The 11418-nt window shown below is 40.3% G+C and overlaps 1 protein-coding gene and 1 long non-coding RNA gene across 10 annotated transcripts in view; one reads left to right on the top strand and one right to left on the bottom strand.

The window, feature by feature from the left end:
- Positions 1-3004, bottom strand: part of SHOC1 (shortage in chiasmata 1) — a 108767-nt gene extending 105763 nt beyond the window's left edge. For all 9 annotated transcript variants that reach the window (NR_109816.2, XM_017014340.2, XM_006716975.3 and 6 more), the window contains exon 1: positions 2967-3004. The gene's annotated coding sequence lies outside the window, so the exon portion shown is untranslated. The remainder of the gene's footprint in view (positions 1-2966) is intronic.
- A 1280-nt stretch (positions 3005-4284) lies between these two features.
- Positions 4285-10131, top strand: LOC124902249 (uncharacterized). The gene is made up of 2 exons (XR_007061734.1): positions 4285-4439; positions 7680-10131. It is a non-coding gene; the product is annotated as an uncharacterized LOC124902249 (long non-coding RNA).
- The last annotated feature ends 1287 nt before the right edge of the window (positions 10132-11418 follow it).

The raw sequence follows: 11418 nt of genomic DNA on the forward strand, positions 1-11418 counted from the left end.
ATTTCTCAAGTGGTCTTGAAATTGGGTAACCAAGGGCAGAACTCTGTGCTGAAACAGTGGAGGATTTGGAAAATTGGGAAACAATTTGTGAAACTGTTTCCATTCTCTTACTTAGAAAATAAGAAGCCTAAAGTTAGAATTTTCTAGTAGCTAGCTCATTTGGAATAAAGCAACTATGGCATATTGGTAAATCAGCAAATCCATCTAATGAAGCAATAAGTAAAATCTAGAATGCTTAACTAGTCCGGGATGGTTCTCATTTACTTGAGAACTCAAGGAATTACAGTTTTGAAGTTACTCTAGGACAGAGTAACTTCTGTGTAAAACTTTTAGTAAAAAACTAAAAACAAACTTTTAAAACAATCCAGGCCAGGCATGTTGGCTCACACCTGTAATCCCAGCACTTTGAGAGGCTGAGGTGGTGGATCACTTGAGGCCAAGAGTTTGAGACCAGCTTGGTCAACATGATGTAAAATACAAAAATACAAAATTTTTGTATCTCTACTAAAAATACAAAAATTAGCTGGGCGTGGTGGTGTGCACCTGTAGTCCCAGGTACCCGAGAGGCTGAGGCACGAGAATTGCTTGAGCCTGGGAGGTGGAGGTTGCAGTGACCCAAGATCACACCACTGCACTCCAAACTGGGCAACAGAGCCAGACTCTATCTCAAACCAAAAACAAAAACAACCCAGAGCACAATTATTTTATTTGTTTAATGACTCAGAAGGATTTTTGGATATTACAATATGTTTTCCAATTAAAATGAGACAAATATGTTATCTGAATTGTCTTTAATATTGTTAGATTCTGTGGTGTGGAGAATATATAGTGTGGCCACCCTCTTTCACTCTTAAACAGGACCAACGTGGGCATTATTTTACTGGTGGTTACTTTTCTGAGAATATTTCCAATCATTGCACCTCTATGTCTTTTCCACCCAGTGTATCACTGATCTTTTTTTTTTTTTGAGACGGAGTCTCGCTCTGTCCCCCAGGCTGGAGTGCAGTGGCCGGATCTCAGCTCACTGCAAGTTCCGCCTCCCAGGTTCACGCCATTCTCCTGCCTCAGCCTCCTGAGTAGTTGGGACTATAGGCGCCCGCCAACACGCCCGGCTAATTTTTTGTATATTTAGTAGAGACAGGGTTTCACCGTGTTAGACTGGATGGTCTCGATCTCCTGACCTTGTGATCCGCCCGTCTCGGTCTCCCAGAGTGCTGGGATTACAGGCGTGAGCCACCGCGCCCGGCCTGTCACTGATCTTTCAAGCAAATATTGATTCTAGAACTTCCATTTCTTGGTGTTGCACTTTCAGAAAAAACTGATTGTCTCATTCTAAAAGCCATTGCAAAAAGTTAACAACAAACTCAACTTTACTGACTTTACCCATTCAGCTTATTGTCAGCATTTATATTAACTTTTCTTTTCTTGTGAAGCCTAGTATTTCTATCACTCTCACCAATTACCTTAAGAAATAATTACTTTTGTATTGAAGTCAACCACTGAAATTCATGCTAAATATGTACTACTTAATAAGATGCCATATGTTATATACATGCTTAGAATCCCGTTTATCAAGTTTATTTCATTGTAATACAGATATCGAATCCATCTAATAGTGGTGGGTGGAAGCAAAAACGATACATTGCTCTTATTTCTAAAACCAAAGATATGAGGAAATGAACAAAATCATGGTTAGAGAGAGGGTAATTTAAAATTATCAAGTTTTGAATTGCAGCAATTCTCGAATTTTTTTTTTTTTTACCTTTTTCTAAAGATTTTATTTCTTTTGTGCTACTTCCTAACAAACATCTACTGGACTACTGGACCAAAATGGAAATGCACACGATAATGAGGTCAGGCACAAGGCCAGGAAGTAAGCTTTCCCAAGATGATGATGATGATGATGATGATTTAATTAATTAATCAAATAATTTTTTGAGACAGAGTCTCCCTCTGTCCCCAGGCTGGAGTGCAATGGTGCGATCTTGGCTCACTGCAACCTCCAGCTCCCGGGTTCAAGCGATTCTCCTGCCTCAGCCTCCCGAGTAGCTGGGATTACAGGCGGGTGCCACCATGCCCGGCTAATTTTTGTATTTTTAATAGAGACGGGGTTTCGCCATGTTGGCCAGGCTGATTTCGAACTCCTGAGCTCAGGCAATCCTCTCGCCTCAGCCTCCCGAAGTGCTGGGATTACAGGCCTGAGCCACCATATGCCAGGCCCCAAGATTATTTAAAAGCACTCACAGGTGAGTGTGAATCTTCGGGCTGGCTTCCCACCTCTCCCCACCAGCCTAAGGCATCAGGAGCTTTCTGCCTTCTTCACTCCCTCGCATAAAAACCCACTTAAAAAAAAAAAAATAATAAGATCCGCCGGAAGTGGTGGCTCACACCTGTAATCCCAGCACTTCGGGAGGCCGAGGCGGGTGGATCACTTGAGGTCAGGAGTTCGAGACCAGCCGGGTCAACATGGCAAAACCCCGTCTCTATTAAAAATATAAAAATTAGCCAGACGTGGTGGAGGACGCCTGTAGTCCCAACTACTCTGGAGGCTGAGGCAGGAGAATCTCTTGAACTCGGGAGGCAGAGGTTGCAGTGAACCGAGATCGTGCCACTGCACGCCAGCCTGGGCAACAGAGCGAGACCCTGTCTTAAAACAGACAAAAAAACGTAACATGGCAGAGAAGGCGAGGTGCACCTATTTTCCCTTATTGTTTAGCCCATACAACTTCTAGTTGATGGGCTGAAATCCCACCAGCATCTCTGAGACCTTCACACCTTCTATTCTCAGGTTAAGTGGACAGTGGGTCTGGGGTTTTGTCTCTACAGAGCCACATCGGCCGGGCCTCACAGATGCGTTTTCCAGAGATTCCTGAGCTGCCATACTTCTTTGGTCCCATACGACCTTTTCCTCCCCTCAGCCCTCAAAATCACCCTCTCTCCTGCCTCCAGCCTCTCAGGGCTCTTACCTGAGGTAAAAATCGCCTCCTGCATCTCTTCCTGGGGTAAAATTCCCGCCCGCTGGACACGTGACCACTGAGCCTGCACTCTGTGCTTCCATTGGCCAGACCAGGCCCCGCCCCTTGGGCTCCGGGCACTTCCGTCCGCGAGTGGGCACAGCCTAGGGAGGTAAGGATTGTGGGGATTCGAGGCTGCAGCCTGGGCAGCGCCGAGGTCCTCGGGAGTGAGCAGAACCCTCATAACACTGGGCGGAGTGTGACGGTGGAGAAGTCGGCGTGAGGCTAGAAAGAGCTGGTTGTGAAGGGTTGGGAAGACCCGGCAAAGCAGTCCGGACTTCTTTGGGAGTGGCGGCTCCCATGTTGTTAGCGAGGCCGGGCAAAACGCGGCAGGGTTAGCCGGAGGGCGAGGGCAGAAGCCTTTCAGAGGTAAGGGTGGGAGGATTTAGCAATCAGACAGATTCAGGGAAAGAGGAAGGCAAGAGAGAGGAGGCAAACGTGCCTCAGGGGTCTGGCTAGGTGTGGGTCATGGCTTGGTAGCAGAAGAACTTTTGAGGAGGGGCAGGAAGATACTGCTTTTCAATTGGCACATGTGGATTCTATACCTTAATTAAAGCCACTCCCTTACATACACACATTTAGGTATCGCCAGACTCGCCTGATGAGGAATAATTATTCTTTCCTCCATATTTCTTAACTCCTGTCTTTTCCATGAAACGGCTTGGCATTAAACTCCTTCCCAGAAGATTGCAAGAAGTAACATGCATTTATTTACTTTACTAACACATGGGTGTCTTTTGAGTTGATTGTTCAAATACTAATTGTGAAATGTCAGTGGATAAGTCACTTTATTTTCTTAAGTTACTTCCTTTATTTTGTACAGGTGTGTGCAGTTTGCTTCGGTTATATGGATTTAATGTTTGACAATAATCAGTTTTAAAGATATTCACCTAACATTGAAGTGCATTAATCATCCTGTGTTCTTGGATGTCTACCTTTTATTAAAATCAATTTTAAATTAAATATCTTTGTAAAAGTTACAAAAATTGGCCGGGCCTGGTGGCTCACGCTGTAATCCCAGCATTTTGGGAGGCTGAGGTGGGTGGATCACCTGAGGTCAGGAGTTCGAGACCAGCCTGGTCAACATGGTGAAACCTCATCTCTACTAAAAATACAAAAAAAAAAAAAAAAAAAAAAATCAGCCGGGTGTGGTGGCATGCCCCTGTAATCCCAGCTACTTGGGAGGCTGAGGCAGGAGAATCGCTTGAACCCGGAGGCGGAGGTTGTAGTGAGCCGAGATCATGCCACTGCATTCCAGCCTGGGGGACAGAGCAAGATTCCGTATCAGAAACAAACAAACAGAAAAACCAACAACAAAAAAAACCAAAAAACAAAAATAACACATGCTTATCCTTACTATAAACAGGAAAACCATCCAAAGATGTATACAGAGAAAGTAATCGCCATTCCCACCCCAACTCCCAGGTAACCAATATTAACAATCTGGGTTGATTCTTTTCACACTTTGTTGTATGTTCATACAAATTTATTCAGATATGCATGTACAACGTTGATTGGCTAATTATATTTAAAAATTATTACTTTTAAAAATAGCTGCATAATATTTTATAGTAACTACGTGCCATGATTTATCTAAACATTCCACTACTGATGGATTAACAGATTGTTTCCAATTTTTTGGAAACAATGACAAATAATGCTGCAGTAAGAATTCTTGGACATATGCTCTTGAATACTTTCTGTGGCATAGATTTGTTTTGGCTTGCTGGCTGAAATTGTAAGAGCATTTCAAATTTAATAAATATTGCCAATTTTTCCTTCCAAAAATGTATAGCAGTTTACATTAACAATACCAGAAAGGGGTCATCATTCTCCTGAATACCCAACAGTACTGAATATATTGCTCTTTAGAAATTTTTGCCAGGCTGATGCATGAAAAATTCTATCTTGTTTTAGTTTGCATTTCTCTGACTACTGCTGAGATTAAACATGTTTTAGATGTTTATGAATCCTTTGGATTTCTTCTTCCATGAATTGTCTAATTATGCATGTGGCTGTGTATGTGTGTATATGTGTATGCATCTGTATGTTTGTGTGTGTATGAGATCAAGTGATTTTCCTATTGGGTAGGTTGTCTTTTTGAAAATCTAGTGTAAAGGTGCATTAGTTAAAATCAGGCCTAGCTGTATAAATAACAGAAAATTCCAAAATAATATTAAATATATTTCTCTTTCATGTAAATGAAGTCCAGAGGTACAAAGGTTAAGGACTGATATGGCAGCTCTGCCCCACTAAGTCCTCTGGGTCTTAACTTCCTACCAGCTCATTTTTCTGCTATTTCTGTGTAGTGGTCCTTGTTTTCATGGTCTCAGGTGGCAGCTTCTGTTTCAGGAAGCAGGATGGAGGAAGGACTGTAAAGGAACAAAGGCCAAAGGCACAATGTCTCTTTATATATATGTAACTTAAATTGTAAAATATAATGTTCACATAGAAATATAATGTTTACACAGAAACTGTACCACAATGTATAGTTATAAAAATTATTTTAAGGAAATGTCCATGGAGCCTCCCCTCAAGTGAAGAAACAGAGCATTGGAATTTCAGAAGCCCGCTTTTCCTTTCTAATCACAACTCTCCCTAGAGGAAGTCTCCCTCTAGACCTAGAGATTACTATAATTCTGACTTTATGGTAATCATTGCCTTGCTTTTCTTTAAAGTGTTTCACCCAAGTATGCATTTCTAAATGACATAGTTTGCCTATTTTTGAATCTTGGTGTTTGTGTTACTTTGGTTCTTGCTTCTTCTATTCAGTGGATGTTTATTGTATATGATGATTCAATTTCATCAATTTCATTCGATGTATTATATATGATGATTTCAGTTATATATGATGATTATTAAATAGGATACAATAGTATCCTGTTGTATAAACATACTTCAATTTATCCATTCAACTGTTGATGGACCTTTGGATTATTCTAATTCTTGTATATTACAAAGAATGCTGCTACAATATCCTTGTACATGTATCCTAGTACACATACATGTTTCTCTGGAATATAGATTTAGGAAAATGTTTTGGATTATTGAGCATACATATCTTCACATTTATTGACTAACACCAAACTGTTTTCCTAAGTGATTATACCGATTCACCCATCAGTAATGTTTAACAGTCTGTACTGCTCTATATCCTCACCAACTCTTAGCAATTTCATACTTGAAAATGTTGAGATCTAGTAGATGTCTAGTTGCAGCAAAGGCTGGAAGATGCAGTGTTCATTCTGAACAGTTATGTGCATAGTTACTATTTGGAAATTCTATTATTAATATAAGAAAAAAACATATATTGGGAAATACACAGCAATCTCTGCCACATTCAGAATACTAACTTAAAAATAGCTGCCAGGCTGGGCACCGTGGCTCACGTGTGTAATCCCAACAATTTGGGAGGCTGAGGCAGGAGGATCACCTGAGGTCAGAAGTTCAAGGACAACCTGGCCAACGTGATGAAACCCTGTCTCTACTAAAAATACAAAAATTAGCCAGATGTGGTGGCAGGTGCCTATAATCCCAGCTACTCAGGAGGCTGAGGCGGGGAGAATCGCTTGAACCCGGGGGCAGAAGTTACAGTGAGCCGAGATTGTACCATTGCACTCCAGCCTGGGCAACAGAGTGAGACTCCATCTCAAAAAAAAAAAAAAAAAAAAATTAACCAAGTGTGGTGGCACGCACCTGTAATCCTAGCTACTTGGGAGGCTGAGGCAAGAGAATCACTTGAACTCTGGGGGGCAGAGGTTACAGTGAGCGAGATCATGCCACTGCACTCCAGCCTGGGTGACAGAGTGAGACTCTGTCTCAAAAAAAAAAAAAGAAAAAAAAGAAAAGAAAAAAAGCTAAATTTTTTTTAGCACTCATTATGTGCCAAGCACTATTCTAAACACTTTGCAACAACTCATAAGCTAGATAAATTTACAAATATTACAAACTCCAGTTTACATAAGAGAAACCTGGGGCATTGACCACTTAAGTCTCTTATCCAAGATGAGCTTGAAAGTATGAGACAGAGTTGCAAATCCAAGTAGCATGACTTCAGAGCCCAAACTCTGAATGAGATCATACACTCTCTAAAAGGAATATTTGCTCTTGAGTCATCCATGTTTTGTAAATGTTTTGTGTTTATTTTGGTGAATTTCTAAAGATAGTTTTCTTTCTATATTTACAGATAATTTTATCATATCCAAATCATGTTTTTTTCTTAGTAGATAATGTTTCTGCATCATTATTTCTAAAATTGTGCATATGATGAGAATCTTAGAACAACTGCTTTTCCCTATAAGTTTTAATTCACCATTATTTGCACCATTGTTATTTTGAACCTAAATGGAAATAAAACAAGTTGAAATAAAACACCCTTCAATATAAACTAAGATGAGGATGGGAAGGAGGAGAAAAATTCCTCTACTGTCCAGACCAATTCGACACATTTACGGAAATCTCTTGTAATAATATCAAACTTCATTATTGTACTCACACGCTGTGCTGTTAAGGCTATAGTAATAACATTTAATGTTTATTGAGAACATACTTTGTGCCAGACACAATACTAGGCACTGATGATGCAAAAAATAGGGAAAACAAATCTTTGCCTCCAAGAAGCTCACAAATCCTTGTCTGAGTTGCTCTTATTTTTCTTCTCTTTAGGTGATTCTAAACACTGCTGCCAGGATGATATTTCTAAAACAGCTAACTGTTTTTGAGTGGTATTCACTTCCCTGCTCAAATTGTTTCAGCTGTCACCACAGCATAACATCTGAAATCCTTAGCATGGAACAATACTCACTCAACCCCATTTATTGTGGAATCCTGAACCATTGGCCATTCTCTGAAAGAGATTCTCCCACTCCTAAGTCTTTGTTCCTGCTAATTTATTTTGTACTCTGATCACATGTTGAAATCCTACTTATTCTATACATTTTAGTTTAAATATTTCCTCTTCCCACTGACACTGTTAGTGAGAATCAGTGGTTACCTTTTGTCATTCCTACAATTTTTGTTAATATCCCACTTTGGGCACTTTTCATGTTTTGCATTATAATTTTTTTGTTCATGTCTGCCTTCCCCACCAGCCTTCAATCTTCTTGAGATTGTGGGCCATGGACCATGTCTTAATTATGTTTATGTAAGTAGCACAATGCCTTATCCAGAGTAAGCACTGTGATGAATATTTAATTTAATTCACTTCTTAACATCTGGCACTAGGTCATTTTGAAATAATGACTATCAATTTTTTTACACTTCCTGTTAAATGTAGGCTTTCAGTGTTTTTGCAGGAGCAATTGTGTGTGAAATATTACACACACACATATACATGCCTATGCAAAATGAACATGGTATGAATATAGCAGATAATCAGCTCAAGATAGAATTGCAAATTAGCTCAAACCAGATCATGCAGAAAATCTGGATATATGGAATGAAAAGTATTGCACAAATGTGTTGCATAAGTAATTTATTGTCTTCTGGCTGCTAATTTATAGGTGTAACCTCACATACTATCTTTTGATCGCCATTAAGGGACTGTTTTGCACCAATAGACTGAGAGCAAACATTTTAATACAACATATTCAGTCTAATTAAGCTGGATAATTACTGCTGGAGAAGAGCTATGGTAGCAACAGCATGTAAATAAATTTTTGCAAGTATAGAAGGGAAACCTAACATTTCATATTCATGTAGATTACCTCTTTTCAAATACAAGAAGACAAATGTTATTCTAGCCCGTTTTGGCAGTATTCATCTCCGTAAATACTATTACTTTTCTCTGTCCCGTATGTTCAACCCTTCAACATTTTTCTGGTTATGAACCATTTCACATATCGTATGCTTATTGGATCTTTTACACACATTGAAAAATTCAGGTAAGCTAAGATTCTTGCTGTAAACTTTACCCATGTGTAGACTTCACTTTGTAACCCAGAAGAAAGAGTGGTAATTGGGTCACCATTTCCATGGGAAAAGTAGAAGTACTAACGCCATACTTTCACCTCTCCCTGGGTAATATTTACCCTAAAACCCTGCACATTATATGGTTCAGTGAAGTTAAGCAATTTGCCCAGAAATACATAGGCAGATCGAGAACTCAGCTCTTCTGACTTCTATCCTGTGAGTTGTAGTTGTTTACTTATTGATTTATCCATCAATTATTTTTAAGCATATATTATGTGCAAGGAAATATGCTAGTTGGGGAGAGCAAATTGACTCTACTCTTTCAATGTGATAGGGAAAATAAACCATTTATATAAATATTATTCCCTAAGAAAATTAATGTTATAAGAGTATGGAAATTTTAAAAAGTACTTTATTATTTCCACAAATAAGTTACAGAGAAGCAAAAATTTGATCAGATAACTCATTTATTATTTCACCAGATTAACCACACCAATGGGAAGTCTAGCTGTTTGGACCACAAAAGCCACAACATAGCACCACTATGTACTTAATGGAAGGTGAACCAACTTGCAAAACAAATAACATCCAAAGGTCTAAACTGCAAATTCAAACTAGAATAAGTTATAATAAATGTCTCAAATATCCAGGGTAACAAAACATTATCCTTATAAAATGTGGAAAAACTATTATTTCTTTCTCTCACCAAAATAAGGCTTAATGTTGTTTAAGGTATCCTTGATTGCTTTTATGCCTTGTATTTAAAAATGAAGGAGATGGGCATTGGACTAAACTTGGGAAGAAGGATGTTACATTAATAATAATTTCATGGCCGGGCACAGTGGCTCATGCCTGTAATTCCAGCACTTTGGGAGGCTGAGGCAGGCCGATCACAAGGTCAGCAGTTCAAGACCAGCCTGGCCAACATAGTGAAATCCAGTCTCTACTAAAAATACAAAAAATTAGCTGGGCGTGGCGGTGGGCGCCTGTAATCCCAGCTACTCAGGAGGTTGAAGCAGGAGAATGGCTTGAACCCGGAAGGCAGAGGTTGCAGTGAGCGGAGATTGTGCCACTGTGTTCCAGCTTGGGCGACAGTGCGAGACTCTGTCTCAAAAAGTAAAAATAATAATTTCATATGCAAGAAAAGTCATTTTACGAAAAGCTGAAGGTAGACCTTTCCCATAAATAAAATGATTTTGTAAAACAATTCTCATAATTTTATATTTTTAATTTAGACTTAATCTTGTATCTCAGAATGTAAACTAACATGATTTTTGAATACCTACTATGTGCTCAGTATGTACAACTTCAGGAGAAAGACAACTTGTGTTGTCTCTTACAGGAAAGAAGAATAGCTAGAAACAGTAATGTTATTGACCACCAACTGACCATCTATTGATCATTTAATATACTATTGACCACCTTCTTTAACCTTCTTCTTTGTTTTCTGGCTTCCTGGATTATTTCACCTGTTCTGTGCCTGGGCTCTTTATCATCTTGGAAGAAAATAGCAAAACCAGGAAATCAGGCTCGTTAGTTACACTACAAATATATGCTGTGCATATATTTAGCACAGCATATATTTGTAGCTAGACCTTCAATGCCAGTTGTCAATCATTATTTCCCTTCATTTGTTATAGAGAGAGTGTGTTGGTATATGCCAGCAATATTCTAGGTGTGAGAAATAGAGTCTCAAACAAGACATTATCTATGTATTTATTTATTTAGAGACAGAATCTTGCTCTGTCACCCAGGCTGGATTGCAGTGGTGCGAGCTCAGCTCACTGCAACCTCCGCCTCCCGGGTTCAAGCGATTCTCCTGCCTCAGCCTCCCGAGTAGCCTGGCTAATTTTGTATTTTTAGTAGAGTCGGGGTTTCACCATGTTGGCCAGGCTGGTCTCGAACTCCTGATCTCAAGTGATCCGCCAGCCTCAGCTTCCCAAAGTGCTGGAATTACAGGCATGAGCCACTGCGCCCGGCCCTATCTCTATTTCTAAACAGCCCCTTATCATATTCTAACAACATCTAGACCAGTGGTTCTCAATTGGAGGTGAGTTTGTCCCTCAAGCGGACATTTGGGCATGTCTGAAGATGTTTTTCTTGTCAAAACTCGGGGAAAGCCAGCCTGGCTATGCGGCCCCCACCTGTTCCTGCTACTCGGGTGCGGCCTTCACCTGCCAGGCCCTTCCCCGCTAGCTTGGGGCAAGCAGAGTTGCATCCAGTGGAAATAAAGCCGTTCCAGGATTATTGAAAACTGAGTAGCAACCTTGGGGGTCCTGGGTCATCACATACTCCCCCAAATGGAAGGTCCTTCTCTGGCATCAATTCCCGTCTCAAGGCCCCGCCTTCAACCTACGGTGGTCCTCCCCTGAGTAAGGGTCTTCAGGCTCTATCACGGTGGTGGAGTCTTCCGCACCCAGCGCATCGACCTTCACCAGCAGGCCTCCCCACCAGATGTCCTCCGCTGGATGCCTAAGCCTTGGGAGCAACAGGG

This window comes from Homo sapiens, chromosome 9 (genome assembly GCF_000001405.40).
Source record: "Homo sapiens chromosome 9, GRCh38.p14 Primary Assembly".
In the NCBI taxonomy this organism is placed as follows: Eukaryota; Metazoa; Chordata; class Mammalia; order Primates; family Hominidae; genus Homo; species Homo sapiens.